Source organism: Homo sapiens, chromosome 2 (assembly GCF_000001405.40).
Source record: "Homo sapiens chromosome 2, GRCh38.p14 Primary Assembly".
Classification (NCBI taxonomy): domain Eukaryota; kingdom Metazoa; phylum Chordata; class Mammalia; order Primates; family Hominidae; genus Homo; species Homo sapiens.
In genome coordinates this window covers 164,360,601-164,378,844 of record NC_000002.12, presented here as the reverse complement: position 1 = coordinate 164,378,844, position 18,244 = coordinate 164,360,601, and the positions used below count along the sequence as shown (strand labels likewise).

At 37.1% G+C, this 18,244-nt stretch overlaps 1 annotated feature.

Annotated features, from left to right (window-relative positions):
- Positions 7,136–7,637: an enhancer, noted in NCBI's record as "OCT4-NANOG hESC enhancer chr2:165227718-165228219 (GRCh37/hg19 assembly coordinates)". NCBI's record gives its function as "activates a minimal SCP1, AML or CMV promoter by ChIP-STARR-seq in naive H9 embryonic stem cells {active_cell/tissue: H9 hESC(naive)}" and the evidence as "EXISTENCE:reporter gene assay evidence [ECO:0000049][PMID:30033119]".

Genomic DNA, 18,244 nt, shown 5'->3' with positions numbered 1-18,244 from the left:
TAATTCTCTGTTTATCTAGGATATTAATTTTGCTAATCGGGACTGTTTGTCCTTCTCGCTCGTCATCCATAATGTGGGCCCAATTTGCTTGTTTAGTTTAAGATAGTAAGACAATAAGAAATCAGTTCCACAGATAAAGCCCATAGTCCTTTTAAAAGTATTAGTACTTAAATGCACGATTCCTATGACTACTGTAAGCTCTATCTAGAAAATGTCTGTATCAAAAGGGCAGTGAACCTCTGTAAGCTCAGGAAATTTACATATAAAAAATCCAAAATTCATTTAAAATTTATTCTTTGACTATTTATCAAGGGCCTACTACGTGTAAGATACTAAGACCAAAATTGCTGTGAATCAAGAGAGAAAAACAAAAGGTTTCTTTTTACAATCTAGATGGGAAGAAAGGGCAGAAGGACTCATTGACTGATCCACCAAAATGAACTCATAAGCCATTGACTTCCATGAAGGAAAGGTTGAGCCTATAAGAGGATATGGCAGGGAGACTGGATTGCTTTTGCATCAGTGTATTACAGATTCTGAACCGGAACTTGACAGTCCAAACTACACAGAAATGCTCCACAGCACCCATAATGTCTCTTTAAGAATATCTATCCTTCATCAATAATGACAATCCTTCTTCTGAACCTTTACCAGTAGGTGAGCTTAGTTTTTTGTTTTGTTTGGTTTGGTTTTCAGTAATTGGTAATAGACTTGCAAAATCATTCAGTCTCTGGTCCAGATTTCCTTCTTTTTAATGCTATACTTTACAAAGACAGTCAGCTTGGGTTAGCGATAGAGTTTAAGATCAGGTATTCTAATTCTCTGGAAGCTGATAATCCACATAAAGTATAATCTGTCAAATCTTACAATATATTTTTTAAATAAAAATTGCTCAGCCAACACCATTCTGGAAAACTGATGTTCAGCATTATAGTTTTATTTCCTTTGTCTAGAACCATTCAGGCAAAATGATCTGTCAAGAGTTTAAGGCCTTTGATTCTGTACCTTTTGTATAAAAACTACAAGTTTAAAATAACAGTGCTTTATTAAGTAGTTAGCATAAAGTTTCTAGATTTCCTGGTGAGTCTCCTAATGCTTATAAGGAAACTACAAGATGACTTCTACTGGAATGAGAGGGTCGCCGGAACCTGGAAGTTTCGAGTTATTGGAAGCAACATTTTCTCTGCTAACATTCTGGTGTGGCTGACAGACAGTTAAAGCATGCTGCCTGTTGGCTATTAATGCCTGCTAACCCTTTTACCACCACTTCTGTGGTTATCCTGAAGGAGTCAGTAACCAGTTCCTAAATTATAGAATTGGGACTTCAAGAGGTCATTTTACCCATCCCCCTGCTTCTGGGCAGGACAATGCTTAATGATCTTGGCTCACAGAGCTCTCTCTGAAACCAATTGATGCACAGATGCAACCATTCACCTCGGGGGGAAATGATGCTATGTAGATAGGTTGTCTTTGTTTATTTCCTTTATTGGTGAATGAACATTTAAAAGTGAAATTCTCTCCCACTTGATTTTGTTTGCAATGTGGTCTAAATTATATTCTGCTCTGTTCCTCATGCTGCAGGAGGTTTTTAATGCTGACCAGGATCACTGACAGCCATCTGTGCCTGGCCCCAGGCATGGACTCTCTTAGGATATGTCCACACTCACCTGTCGGCACTACAGGTTTAGGCTGCTAATATCATTTGAAAACTTTGCATTGAAAGAAATAGGAATAAAAAGATAGTTTTACCTCCTGTGGGAGAGTCATTATTCCTACAATTTATTGAACAGCTAGCTCCTCCTTTCCAACTTCTTTACTGCTGGCTGTTGAAACAACTCATGTTACCTTTTACTCTTTTTTTTTGTTTTTAACTTCTAGTTTAAGTGCTGAAGAGTCGATGCTTCTTTTCCCAAGTTCCCACTAACCTCTTTATAATGATGCATAAAATAATGAAAATGAAAACCCAAAATTAATCTGTAGTTTGTAAATAATTTTTAAACATGAAACAGATCAATCTCAGTCATCTACAACAAGGTAGCCAGACGCTTTCTTCTTTCAAAGTGTGCTCACTGTTTCAAACCCAGAGACCTAGGGACTGAGAACTAGCAAAAGACTACCAAGCGTCTCACCTTTCAATGGTTGGGTTGTGGGAGGTGGAGAGAGACATTGGTCTGTGGACCAGCAGCAAGCCCATCGCTTGCTGTAAGAAATGAGGACTCTTAGATCCAATCCTGACCTCTGAATCAGAATCTGCATTTGAAGAAGATCCACAGATGATTTGATTACTCATTAACGTTTGGAAAGCACTGCCCAGAACTTTGAGATCATCTTCTAATACACTGCATCAATAAATAAAATGTTGAAAGAGAAAATTGTAGATGTTGATGATGACAATTTTAACCGAACTTGGTGGTGTTCTGTTTCACCTGATGCTAACAATTTTTAGGTTAGGGGACCTAGGAAAAATGTCCTTTTGTCTCTACCAGTTGCTGGTTAAGTGGAACAGTGAAGTGTCCTTTTCCTCCTTTTTAAAATTTCCGGGGTACTTGACTAACTGATTTCTGCATGTTTAAACTTACATTAAATGACCTAAGAGATGACTTTTGCTTTAATTTGATGGAGACAATCCAGTGGCAGTTATCTGTCACTGATTTCATCTTAACTTCCTTTTCATTTAAGATCTCTGAATGATTATGTTAAGTATGCTTAAAAACCAGAGAAAACAAAATGATCTCAACTATTTTTCAAAAATGCATAGGAGATAGTATTTTAGGAAAATACAGTGGTAACAATATTCACCAGAATTTTGGATGATTTCTCTTTCTTCATTTTAATTTTCTGTCTACACCAGCATGTAGTACTCTTATAGTCGGTAAATCATATTACAGTATTTAAAACAATGCAGTTTTGTTTATGGAATATAATGAAACTATGTACAAAACTGCAAATGTCTGGAAGTATATTAAACTATTCTCTATACTTTTCTGTATTTTTAGTTTTCCATGTTGAATATGTATTTTTTTTCTATAGCAGCTGCCAGAGGGTTTCAGTAAATGACCAAAAAGTATTTTTTGAAGGAATGAACACATAGGTGAAGAAATCGGGACAAGTTTTCTCTTAGAGTCCACTCCTTTACTACTAGTGTTAATAGTGAGGTATTTACAATATGTATTTTGAAATGCTGTCATTTATAAGGGTTGAATAATAGTGGCTAATTTGTATACCTACAATCAAGTCAGATTAGGGATAGAAGACGACAGTCCTCAGAGTGCCTTTCCTTTGTCCTTTCTCCCCAACATCATAGCATTTTACAACAGAATGGTTTAACTGAACTTTGCCAAAGCTTGAAAACATCCTGTTTAGTATATACAGTTCCTTAAAAAGCAGTTTGCATTGAAATTAATTAATGTATCCAAATCTCTTTAGCATATGATATAATTGGTAGGGCTCATAGAATAGTTGGACTTTGGCTAGAAGCTATAGACTGTAGAATTCAGAGATTTTAAAATATATTAGGTTTGAAATCCTTTTTAAAATGCATTCTTGGTGATAACACAAAAAACAAGCACAAATAACAAGTCTGGTTGTTGGGGTGGGAGGAGTTCAGATTTGTCTGACTCTACATGACGATTCTTAGGAACCTGCATTTGGTAAGCATAGTCCAAAAACCGTGGAATCATAAAGCATTTGTATCACTGGGTCAAGTTACAATAGTTTTTCCCCCCCAGGTACAATATGGCCACGTAAAATCAATCATTATTTAGCATATTCATATTCATCATCTTTGGTGATCTTCTCTATAGCATTGAGAGGTAGTTCCTTATATTATTAATAAAGGAGAAAGAGATACTGAAAAAGCGAATCATGTTCACATCACCAATGAAGGTCAAAGTCAGCCTTTCACTCCAAGTTAAAAAAATGCAATTGAGATCATCCTGGTTAACACAGTGAAACCCCGTCTCTACTAAAAATACAAAAAAAAAAAAAAAAAAAAAAAATTAGCCAGGCGTGGTGGCATGCTCCTGTAGTCCCAGCTACTCGGGAGGCTGAGGCGGGAGAATGGCGTGAACCCAAAAGGCGGAGCTTGCAGTGAGCCGAGATCGCGCCGCTGCACTCCAGCCTGGGCAACAGAGGGAGAGTCTGTCTCAAAAAAAAAAAAAAAAAAGCAAAAAAAAAAAAAAACAAATGCAAACCTCAAAAATTTTCAAGGCAAGACAGTGCTATACATATTAACATAAATAGCTGACAAGCTGGAAGCTGTTGTTAATAGGAGAAGCAGTCTAGTGCGACAATCAAGAATTTAAGTGCTTGAGTCAGACTAGCTTGGTTCAAATCCTGCTTCTGCCAACTACTGGGTCTATGACCTTACACAAGTTATTGAATTTCTCTATGCCTCTGTTTTCTAGTCTGTAAAATGTGGTTGTCATAATGTCTACCTCATAGATTAGTTTGGAGTTTAAATGAGTGACTATAAAAAAAAAGCACTAAATACAAGGCCTTACAATAGTAGATGCTCAGTAAATGTTAAACCAAGCATACTACTAGGCATATTGAGTGCATTATTATATTTAATTCTTACTACAAAGAAACAATTTTTTAAAATTCCAATTTTATAGAAGAAACCAAAACTCAGTAAGGATAAGTCACAAATCTGAAAGTTGAGCCCAACTCTAACTCCAAAGCTGATGCTTTTATTATTTTTTAAAATATAGTAACTTGTTTTTAAGAGTGACAAAGTTTTATGGAATTATATTTTAAAATTAGAAATGAGTAATCATTCTTAGTTTAATCTTATTCATCTGATGAGTTTAAAGTATATATATTCATTTGCTTTTACAGTAACTCTGTAAGATATTAAGTAGGCAAATACTATCATTCCCTATAACACAAAAGTATTATTAAGAATAAGTTTATACAGAAAAGATCAGTAGTAATATCAATGTTAATGCAAAGCAGAATACGTGAGACTGTAAATCTTGATATAGAGTGTGTTTTTCTCCCTGGGAATTAATTCTTCCACTTTGTATTTAACAGTTCTTCTATATATTTATAGTTTCAGTTACTTCTTTTCTGATTCATTCCATAAAATATCTAGTAGTATTTAAAATAATTGTCACACATAATTGCTGTTTCCCACTATATCATTAAAATTGATCATTTCTTCCTTATGATGGTGTATTAGTCTATTCTTATGCTGCTAATAAAGACATATGTGAGACTGCATAATTTATAAAGGAAAGAGGTTTAATCGACTCACAGTTCAGCATGGATGGGAGGCCTCAGGAAACTTACAATAATGTCAGAAGGGGAAGTGAACATATCCTTCTCATGGCAGCAGGGAGAAGAAGAATGAGAGCCAAGTGAAGGGAGAAGCCTCATATAAAACCATCAGATCTCTTGAGAACTTACTATCATGAGAATAGCATGGGGGAAACTGCTCCCATGATTCAATTACCTCCCACCGGGTCCCTCCCATGACATGTAGGGACTTTGGGAACTATAATACAAGATTAGATTTGGGTGTGGACACAGCCAAACCATATTATTCCATCCCTGGCCCCTCCCAAATCTCATGTTCTCACATTTCAAAACACAGTCATGCCTTTCCAACAGTCCCCCAAAGTCTTAACTCATTCCAGCATTAAATCAAAAATCTAAGTCCAAAGTCTCATCTGAGACAAGGCAAGCCTCTTCTGCCTATAAGTCTGTGAAATCAAAAGCAAGCTAGCTACTTCCTAGATACAATGGGGGTACAGGCACTGGGTAAATCCACCCATTCCAAATGGGAGAAATTGGCCAAAACAAAAGTGCTACAAGTCTCATGCAAGTCCAAAATCCAATAGGGGAATTATTAAACCTTAAAGTTCCAAAATGATCTCCTTTGACTGCATGTCTCACATCTAGGACACACTGATGCAAAAGGTGGGCTCCCACAGCCATGGGCAACTCTGCCTCTGTGGTTTAGCAGGGTAGAGCTCCCCTCAGCTGTTTTTACAGGATGACATTGAGTGTCTGCAGATTTCCCAAGCACAAGGTGCAGGCTATCAGGGGCTCTACCATTCTGGGGTCTGGAAGACAGTGGCCCTCTTCTCACAGCTCCACTAGGCAGTGCCCCCGTGGGGACTCTGTATGGGGACTCTGACCCCACCTTTCCCTTCCCCACTGTCCTAGCAGAGGTTCTCCATGAGGGCCCCACCCCTGCAGCAAACTTCTGCCTGGATGTCCATATATCCTCTGAAATCTAGGTGGAGGTTCCAAAACTCAATTCTTGATTTCTGTTCACCTACAGGCTCAACACCACATGTAAGCCACTAAGGCTTTGGGCTTGCATGCCCTCTAGCAATGGCCTGAGTTGTATGTCGGCCCCTTTTAGCCATGGCTGGAGCAGAAGTGGTTGGGAAGCAGTGTACCATGTCCTGAGGCTGCATAGAGCAGGGAGGGTCCAGGTCCAGCCTAGGAAACCATTTTTCCCTCCTAGGCCTCCAGGCTTGTGATGGGAGGGGCTGCAGTGAAAGTCTCTGTCGTACTCTGGAGACATATTCCCCATTGTTTTGATTGACATTTGGCTCCTAGTTACTTATGCATATTTCGGCAGCAGGCTTGAATTTATCCCGAGAAAGTGTTTTTTTTTTTTTTTTTTTCTATAGCATTGTCAGGCTACAACTTTTCCAAATTTCTATGCTCTGCTTCCTTCTGAATGCTTGTGCGCTTAGAAATTCCTTCTACCAGGGCTGGGTATGGTGACTCACACCTGTAATCCCAGCACTTTGGGAGGCTGAGGCAGGTGAATCACTTGAGGTCAGGAGTTGGAGACAAGCCTAGCCAACATGGTGAAACCCCTTCTCTACTAAAAATACGAAAATTAGCCAAGTGTGGAGGTGCATGCCTGCAATCTCAGCTACTTGGGAAGCTGAGGCAGGAGAATCACTTTAACTCAGAAGGTGGAGGTTGCAGTGAGCCAAGAATGTGCCACTGTACTCTAGCCTGGGCTACAGAGAGAGATTCTGTCTCAAGAAAAAGAAATTTCTTCCACCAGATACCCTAAATCATCTCTCTCACGTTCAAAATTCCACAGATTTCTAGAGCAGGGCAAAATGCCGCCAGTCTCCTATCTGAGACCACCTCAGTCTGGACTTCATTGTCCATATCGCTAACAGCATTTTAGTCATAGCTATTCAACAAGTCTCTGGGAAGTTCCAAACTTTACCACATTTTTCTGTCTTCTTCTGAGCCCTCCAAACAGCTTCAATCTCTGCCTGTTACCCACTTGCAAAATCACTTCCACATTTTCAGGTATCTTTACAGCAGTACCCCAGTTTCTGCAGTACAAATTTACTGTGTTAGTCCATTCTCACACTGTAATATGATTTCACTCTGTCTCCACCTAAATCTCAACTTAAATTCCCATATGTTGTGGGAGGGACCTGGTGGGAGGTAATTTAATCATGGGGGGCAGGCCTTTCCCATGCTGTTCTAGTGATAGTGAATTAAGTCTCATGAGATCTGATGGTTCTATAAGGGGGATGTTTCCCTGTACAAGCTCTCTCTCTTTGCCTGCCACCATCCATCTAAGACTTGACTTGCTCCTCTTTGCCTTCCACTATGATTGCGAGGCCTCCCCAGCCATGTGGAACAATAAGTCCATTTAACCTCTTTTTCTTCCCAGTCTCAGGCATGTGAAAACAGTAGTCTCAGCAATGTAAAAACAGACTAATACACACTACTAATACAAACATACCTGAGACTGGGTAATTTACAAAGGAGAGAGGTTTAATTGACTCACAGTTCAGCGTGGCTGGTGAAGCTTTAGGAAACTTACAATAATGGTGGAAATGGGAGCAAACATGTCCTTCTTCACATGGCAGCAGGGAGAAGTAGAATGAGAGCTGAGCAAAGGGAGAAAACCCTTTAAAAAACCATCAGATTTCATGAAAACTTGCTCACTATCATGAGAATAGCATGGGGGAAACAGTTCCCATGATACAATTACCTTCCATGGGGTCCCTCCCATGACATTTGGGGATTATGGGAACTACAATTCAATTCAAGATGAGATTGGGGTGGGGACACAGCCACACCATATCAGATGGCAAAGGTATCAGAATACCCTCCACAAATTTTACTTCTGCTAAGAGTTAATTTTCCATCACTTTTTAAATTTAAACTGGGATGAAAGAAACAGTTCAGATGACAATATATATTTCTTATGACTAGCAATTAGAAAATTAAAATAAAATTTTAAAAGCTTAATGGGGTTGTCAATGGCAAACTGTGCCCTACTAAATTAGCAACTTGTCAACTTTAAGATAATTCAGAAGAACCATGATTCTCCCATGAGTGACTATTAGATGATCTATTATGAAATAAGTCAATGAACTGAGTCTAGTTTCAATTGAATAATTACAGACCTAACAAAAACTAGATTTTATTGTCATCTTCTACTGAAACTTGCTGCTGCTTAGCAAAGTGGACCAAACTTTAATGGAGAAAACAACTGGTCTACTCTTTCACCAAAGAAGTTGTCCTTTTCATTTGGGATTGAGGCATGTTTTTTTTATTGCAAAGGGCAGTTCATGTTGGGGCTGTCATTTATATTGATGTTCTTTTTTCAAAATGACACCTCCATGTAATTTTTTTCTGCAGAAAAATTGGACTTCAGTGTTCAGGGTCATTGGTGAGAGATCTTTCACTGATTCAAAATTCATTTAAAATTTTTAGGAAGAAGGAAAAAAATCAGAACTCTTCCTACCCTCCCAAGAGAAGTAATATGTACCTTACATGGAAAACCTAGGGCATTTTAAATGGACTCACCAAATAGAAGATGACTTCTTTCCTTGGCTAATTTAGTGACAACACATGGGTATTTCTTTTTCTGGAATTTTGTGAAAACTTACAATTATCACAGGACTGAGTGCAGTTTGTTTGCTCTCCACAAAAGCAGAGATGATTTTTATTGACCAATCTTTGATCCGAGAGATTAAAGAAAGTACTGCATGAGCAGCGAGAAGGATAACACCACGGGGGTCAATAGGCTTTACTGCTATTGGAAATGAAAGTGAATCATTCCATTGGGAGATAGGGTAATTTAGCATTCTTACTGGGAATGCAAGACTCTTTCTTTTTCTCCCTTTTTTGGAAAGAAAATATTCAACTAATGAATAAGTTTCTCCATGATTTAATACCATGGCCACACACGAGGTCATTTGGAGGGCACTAGATTCCCCAACATAATTCTGTACAATGCTTTTTAGCCCAAATGGCCTGGCTGTCACATTTTCACACCCTTGATTGAAATGTCCCTGGTAGACTTTTGGAATGCAGTCTGAAGGCTTAGTGACTCAATATTTTCACAGTGAATACATTTCCAATCTCATAGAAAGTTGCCACTAACTATTGCAGAGGTTATGTCTCTTTCAGTTTTCCTCTGAAACACTGAATGAAGTAAAATTCAACTTTAGTTGAGCTTTGAGAAAACAAGATATAATGAATGCATGCTACTATTATTTGCCATTTTAACACACTTTTGCAAACTATCTATCCTACTGTCTTTCAACCGATAGTCTATAAAAGAGTTATTTTTTCCTCCTATTTTCATAAATAGAAGGATCATTTTTTCCTTTATTTTTATTATGAGCCAGGGAATAAGGGTTGGAAGTATAACATCTGGTATGATTGTGACTGGGGATAATGCTGAGATGCTATTGTTTATAGAATATTCACCAAAACTCCTGAGGCCTGACAAAATGTTCATGTTATGCTTCTTCATTTCTTTGAAAGATTGCCAAAAAATTTTTCTGGGATAGCCAATTGCATTTCTGTTTCAATTTGCTAGACATATTCAAGCTTACTTTAAACTTTTGACTGGCTATTTTTAACAGAGTTCTTATTTGCAAATTGAAAGTGCCCCTGTTCTTCTCTATAACAGTATTTTGATATAATACAGGACGCTCATGATATCAGTTATTTACCAACTAGAACGACCTAGTTCTTGTCCCCTTGGTTTCTAAAGCTGATTTAGCATTAGAATTACATTACAAACTTAAAAGTTTAGATCAAAACTACTATTTCCTCGTATCTCAAGGTGATTGTTCTTGTTGATTTTCTTAGCAAGAGTATACAACTAGATTATTTACATCATGACTACACCTTATAGAATTATATCATTTCATTTTATGAATGATTAATAATGAACATGATTTGCTTCTCCAGAATTTATGAGGAACTCAGACAACTCAACAGCAACAAAAATAACCCCATTCAAACGTGGCCAAAGAACATGAATATTTATTTTTCAAAAGAAGACATACAAATGGCCAAAAAGCATATGAAAAAATGTTCAACATCGGTAATCATCAGAGAAATGCAAATTAAAACCACAAGTAGATATCATCTTACACCACTCAGAATGACGATTACTAGAAAGATAAAAAATAACAGATATTGGTGAGAATGAAGACAAAAGGGAACACATACACTGTTGGTGAGAACGTAAATTCCACTGTTGGTAGGACTATTGGTGGAAATGTACAACCACTGTGGAAAGCAGTGTGGAGATTTCTCAAAGAACTAAAAATAGAACTACTGTTAGTTCTATTTACCAATAGAATTGCTATCTATCAATAGATTACTATTTGCCAATAGTAATCTTACTATTGTGTATCTGTCCAAAGGAAAAGAAATCATTGTATCGAAGAGATACCTGCACTCATATGTTTATTACAACACTATTCACAATAGCAAATATATGGAATAAACTTGTATCTGTCAGTGGATGACTGGATGATGAAAATGTGAGACATATATAGGAATACTATTCAGCCATCAAAAAGAATGAAATAAAGTATCTTGCAGCAACATGGATGGAACTGGAGGCTATTATCTTAAGTGAAACAACTCAGAAACATAAGGTCAAATACCACTTATTCTCACTTATAAGTGAGAGCTAAATAATGTGTACATACAGACATAGAATGTAGAGGCCGGGTGCAATGGCTTACACCTGTAATCCCAGCACTTTGGGAGGCTGAGGCAGGTAGATCACTTGAGGTCAGGAGTTCGAGACCAGCCTGACCAACATGGTGAAACCCCATCTCTACTAAAAATACAAAAATTAGCTGGGCATGGTGGCAGGTGCTTGTAGTCCTAGCTACTCGGGAGGCTGAGGCAGGAGAATCTCTTGAACCCAGGAGGCAGAGGTTGCAGTGAGCCAAGATTGTGCCACTGTACTCCAGCCTCTGTGACAGAGCTAGACTCCATCTCAAAAAAAAAAATAAATAAAAAATAAAAATATATATATATAAGAATCAACGTTGGAGACTTGGAAGAGTGGAAGAGTGGGAGGATGGGAGGAGAATGAGGGATGAGAAATTAGTTAATGGGAATAATGTACATTATTCAGGTGATGGTTAGACCAAAAGCTCAGACTACCACTATGCAATATACCCATGTAAAAAAGATACTGCACTTATACTCCTTACATTTATACAAACTTTTAAAATTAGCATAATTCTGTTCATCTTAAGGAAATTTTCAGGAATTAGGGAAATTAAGGAACATTTATTAATGTTCACAGGGACATATCGCTGTGTGTTTACATGGCAAAATGTGACTCCCTCCACTTTTTCTGGCATATGCTGTTTTAAATTTATTTGTCTAGATTCTGCTGATACCATTAAGTAAATTGTTTCTTGGATGCACCAAATGGTCTCCAAGTGGCTTAAAATATCATATACTTCTTTTCAAAGTGTTCATTTTGGTTATTAGTAAGAATTTGTACAATGACAAAGTCCGCTTTATTAAATGTTTTTAAAGTTAGTAAGACAGTAAATAATTCAGGAGACTGAACCTCTTTTCTAAACTAAACATTGATTTATGTTTTACCTGATGGAAACAAGTCGACTTTTACCAGGTATATATAATTTAGAAATAATCTTTGGTTTAAAGAGAGATCTGAGTAACATTTTACTGAAAATCATAGAAGATTTATTCTTCTTAAATGGGCAATCTCTGATTACTATGCACCACTAGAGTGGAAGAATGATGTATCATGCTAAAGTACCCAGTACCTCTAGCTAGCTATGTGATCTGTACTCAAAGCAATTACTGTTGTTTTGTTATCTGAATGCCAGGGGACAATATACAGCTAATATTAGTACTACAGATCCTGTTGAGTTCCTGTATGCTAAAGTACAGTGACTACAATAATTGAAATAACATTATTTTTTGAGCACTTACTGTATATAAGAAATTGTGCCTAACAAGCACCATGCTATTTGATCAAGCACCATGCTATTTGATCTTTAAGATAAAGTGTTGGCCAGGCACAGTGGCTCACATCTATAATCCTAGCACTTTGGGAGGCCAAGGTGGGTGGATCACCTGAGGCTAAGAGTTTGAGAGCAGCCTGGCCAACATAGTGAAACCCCGTCTCTACTAAAAATACAAAAATTAGCCAGGTGTGGTGGTGGTTGCCTGTAATCCTAGCTACTGGAGAGGCTGAGGCAGGAGAATCGCTCGAACCTGGGAGGCAGAGTTTGCAGTGAGCCAAGATCATGCCATTGCACTGCAGCCTGGGTGACAGGAGCAAAACTCTGTCTCAAAAAAAAAAAAAAAAAAAAAAGGTTAAGTCTTTGGTCAACTGATGACAAAAATGAGAATAAGAGAAAATAAATATGTTGTACTAGATATGTAAACTATAGCTCTATTACACTTAGAAAACAATTGAGAGAAAGATGGAAATAATTAAGTCCTGCAAATAATGAATCTTCAACCTCATTTGGAAGCTCACCGGACTTAAGCTGACTGACTACCAATTTAATTGTTAAGAAAACATATAATTTTAGAATGCTCTAAAGTGTTAGAAACAGAATCAAACACTGTTTCTAAAATGTATGTATATTGTGTATGTATATACATATTAGATAACATATCATATATAGTTATAGATATAGTTATATTGTATATCCGTTTGATGTTCATACACTATGTATTTTACATTTTTTCTGATACTCACTATATACAGAAGTAGGGGTATGGGCACAGTTTAAATTTGCTTCAGCCAAATGTAACTTACATTTCAAAAAACAAATGGACTGATGTTAAAGAGTTGCTTGTTTTGTGCATATGTATTGAGACTCTAAAGTGACACCTGATTGTTTAATCAGATTTAGCTGAGGACGTAAAAGCTTAGGAGAACATCTTGTAGAGATTTGTTACTGAACATCTATTTTTCACTACTTTTTCCTCACAGGACCATTATTTTCAGTGTATTATAGCTGGTAAGATCTTGGGATTTAGAATCGGCAGACCTAGGTTCAAATCCTTGCTCTACTACTTACTAGCTGCTAAGCAATCAGCACTAAGCAATCTTGAGCAAGTAACTTGATACCTTCCCGCTTATCTTGGTTTAATAGGACTAATGCTACTTGCCTAATAGTGTTATTAGTAAGACTAAATGAAATTAGGTATAAATATGTTTGTCATACAGTTTTTGCACTTAATAAATATCAATTGATTTAATTATTATTGTTATTAACTGTAGAGACAGGACAAGGTCTGTGTCATAATAATTGAGATCATGGGGTCGGTGGGCATGGTTTGCAGTTCTGAAGGCTCACAGAATTTGTTAAGTGAGAGAAGCAATGATTCTTCTTTGGCCAATGGAACTGCTAGGGAACAGGTCCTGGTTCTGCACCCTTTTTATAATACAGAGTCAACCTTGCACCTTGGCTGTTAAGGAGAATGGTGTTATTTATTTCAGAGAATCCCAGCTCAATCTCAGTCGCTAAGTTTCTTTTGCATCCCTGTAGTTAAATGCTGTAGTAGTTTATAGAAGATTTAGGATGTTTTGAAGATTCGCTCATTTCCTATTTTTACTCTTTTCAAAATAAACACTCCACATCATTAAATGGAAACTGGCGATTCTATTACTTGATCCACTTCCCTTAGGGGTTCTTCTAAGGATCAAAAACTACAGCCTTGATCTTAGAATGCAAATCTACAATTTCTATTATGTTATATTTTAACTCCATAATTATGTTCTGAGCTAGATATTTCTCAATTCCAGCATTTTACAAAGCAAAAGTAAAAATAAATTGAGTTTTTTAAATGTGCAATTGTGGCATTTTCAAGAAAAGCAAAAACTCTTTGATATGAATATGAAAACTTCCCATCTTCAGAGGATTCAGGCCAATTTCTGAATTTTACCATGTTAAGGAAATATTTGTAGTTACTTCCTTGAAATAAGCAACATCAAGAATAAAAAACAGTTTCATAGTCAATGGATGCCTTTTAAAAATTTTTTCCTTTTCTTTTCACTACTTTGAACTATTTAATCTTACAGCTATTATTAGAATACAGGGGATACACAGGTAAGTCTTAAATTTTTGCTTTCAAATACAAAAAGCAACACTATAATGCATATAGTTCTAAATTATCTTTAATATTGACTATAGTTTGGTACAAATAGGAATCCTGTAGGTGATATCATTCCCCAACTTCCACAACTACTGGGAAGAAATTACTTTCCAGGGAGAATTTCTGATGTTACAAAATAAGACCCCAGGACATTGAGAGCCTCTGTAGAGTCAGAATTTTTATTGCTGAATTTCATTTGGAAGAGCCCAGGGGTGCATGATACTCATTTTATCTGCCTCTGAATGATGAAATACTAAGGTAAGTCAGCTTGTGATGAAACCTCTGTTTATGGATATAATATTATCTTGTTAGTGATTTATATTCCATATGGTATAAATTTTGACTTGGTTAATATCTGGGAAATGGGAGTATTATTTTAAAAATTCTGATAGACATATATGTTAAGAAAAATTGGTGTAAGCTCATGGAGAATCAAATTTTTCTATATTGAATACATTGCAGTTTTCTCACTAACTACTTGTAGTTAGCACACACTTCACTGGTTAAGGGCACAGTGCTTCATAAGCCTCCTCACTTCAAATACTAGCCACAAGCTCTGGCATTCCCAGGCTACCTGTGCTTCTGACCAACTGCCTACACATTCAAGATTTCCCACTACTCATTCAGGTTCAATAATTCACTAGAATGACTCACAGAACTTAGCAAGTACTATACTTATAATCATACTTTTATTATAAAAGATACAGATGAGGACCAATCAAAGGAAAAGATGCAAAGGGTAATGTCTGGGAGGGTCCCAAATGTGAAACTTCTGTATCCTCAGGACATATTATTGTCCGACTAAATCAATCTGTATTACCAAACTGGCTGCTCACCTGAGCTTCAGTGTCTAAAGTTTTCTTTGGAATTTTGTGTAGGCACCATTGGTTGAATCATTGCCCACGTGGTTGAACCCTATCTTCAGCCTTTTTTCTCCCCTCCCTGGAGATATAAACGGCTCAAAATCCCAACTCTCTAATGGCTGATCTTTTTGGTATAGCCAGCCCCTATGCTGAGGTTATTAGGGGTCCACCATGAGTCACCTTGTTAGCATACACTTAGGTGTGATCTGAGAGGCCCACCAAAAATAACAAAGACACTCTTATCATTTGGAAAATTCTAAAGATTTAGAGGCTCTCTCCCAATACTTGGAGAAAAAAGACAAGTAAAATTTTTTATTATACAACATGGAAATTTTAGAGTTTATAGTTTTTCTTGTATATATATTAGGCAATATATTAAACAAAAATGCATGTAAAACGTCCTTCTTATAGGAACACCTATGCAAAATCTTGCTGGCGTGAATCCTATATGGCTTGCTTAATTCTAGCTGATGATGTCTCTGCATGTAGAATGTCCTTGTACCACTCTTCCATAAAGATGTATCCCATCACTCCCTAAACAAACTCGAGGAACATCTCTTCCAGGAACTCTTTCTTGTTTAGTGCACATTGTGTTGATGGTTTTCTTTTTTACAATCTTAACTTTACAATACTATGTATCAACATGTACATATTATCATTTAGTTGCTTATTTTTATTTCTGTGGACATTTAGATATTGACAATGCAGAAGAGACTAGACAAGAAATTAGAATGCAGAAAATTAAAGCAGAGACCGGAGATAAAGGAAGATTTTAGAAATAAAAGGTTCTTGATCCCCAGGATATACCCAATAACTTATATTTTCCATGTTTATATAAATTATAGTACAATGAGGTTCTGTTATATATCTGGCACTGTTGTTGGTTATTAGATACTCTAATATTCAAGATAAGCAAGACAGGCAACTTCCCAGGGAACATGCATTTTAGAGAAAGGAGGAGAAATGACAACTAATAAGCACATGCACAAAATAATTTTGGACAGTGATGAATGAGATAAAGACAAGGAGAGGAAAAATGTATGGGGACTTCAGTTTGTTTGCTCAAGAAGGCTTCTCTGTTGATGTGAGAGGTTAAGCAGAATGTTGAAGGAGCCAGTCATGCAACTGTTACCCATGGCAGTGCCAACGTGACTTAGCTGTACCCCTACCTAACTTTCATTGCCAAATGCAATGCCTCCCTGACATAGCTGAATTTCTACTCGGCCTTATCTCTGCTCATTTTTAGGAAACAGAATGTCTGTGGTCAGAAGTTCCTTCTTGGGACTAAACCAGTTGAAGCTGGCAAAATCCATGATGGCAGCTTACTCGATCTTTGAAGAACCTCTAGCTTCATTATACTCCAACTTCCATACTAAATGACACTCCCACCAATGCCATGACAGTTGACAATCATCATGACAGTGACCAAAAAGAACCAAAAAAGGACAGGAAAGAAGTGGCTACTTGATTCCAGGAAAATCTCCATCCTTTCCCAAGAAAAGCATGAATATTCCTCTCCTTGGTTTTAACGCTCAAACCTTTCATTAAAGATACCTTGTGTCTGTAACTTCCTGATTCTCAGGAGCTGACATGTTGATGTGTGAGCCACACTCCCACTTCTCCATGTCATGACCATCGAATAAAACCTGTACTGCTCTATGCTCACTTTCGGTTTAATGTACTGGCTTCACGACACTGAACAAGAAAGAGCCCACCTTTTAGGGTAATTAGGACCCCCTGGTAACAAAATGACCTGAAGGAGAGCACTCCAGGCAGAGGGGACCACAGGTGCAAAGGCTCCAGGACCAAGCTGCACTTGGTATATTTGAGGAGAAAAAAAAGGCCAGGGTAGTTCTAGATCGGAGAGTGTGGGGAAGAGAAATATAAAGTAAGGGCACAGAAGAAGACAAAAACCAGGGCCATGGTGGGGACAGATTTTACTCTGAGTTTATTATATTAAAACTATAGAAATATAAGAAAAAACCCATAGCCTAATAGCAAACACTACCTATAGATAAAATATTGACTTATTTCTCTTCAGTTTTTTTTTTTTTGGTACTTTAAGTTTTAGGGTACATGTGCACAACGTGCAGGTTAGTTACATATGTATACATGTGCCGTGTTGGTGTGCTGCACCCATTTACTTGTGATTTAACATTAGGTATATCTCCTAATGCTATCCCTCCCCCCTGCCCCCACCCCACAACAAGCCCTGGTGTGTGATGTTCCCCTTCCTGTGTCCATGTGTTCTCATTGTTCAATTCCCACCTATGAGTGAGAACATACAGTGTTTGGTTTTTAGTTTGCCGAGAATGATAGTTTCCAGCTTCATCCATGTCCCTACAAAGGACATGAACTTATCATTTTTTATGGCTGCATAGTATTCCATGGTGTATATGTGACAACCCAAATGTCCAACAATGATAGACTGGATTAAGAAAATGTGGCACATACACACCATGGAATGCTATGCAGTCTTCAGTTCTTTTTACTAGATATATAGAAATGCAGATTAAAAAATAACATCAGGAATGTAGATAGAGTTTTGTGGCTTCCATTTTTTCACCCAACAATACACCATGAGCATTTTTTCATGTCAATACATATTGCTTTACAACATGATATTAATGGGCAACACAGAGTTTCTTTGTATGGTGGTGCCATATACATTCATTCAATCCACTATTTTTTAACATTTTAAAAATCACTTTTTCCTCAGTTATTATTCTTGCATATAAAGCATTGTACACATTTTCTTTGGTTGAATTCTTAAAATGACATTAATATGTCAAAAAGTTTAAACACTTTTAAGGCTTTCAATGCATAAGTTTCCTCCCAGAAATATACTAATTTGCCCTCCCAGTCAGTGGTTAAAGTTTCTGATTCACTGCATCCTCACCAAATATTTTTAAAAAACACTGCCACTTTAAGAGGTAAAAATCCATAACTTATAGTTTTTACTTACG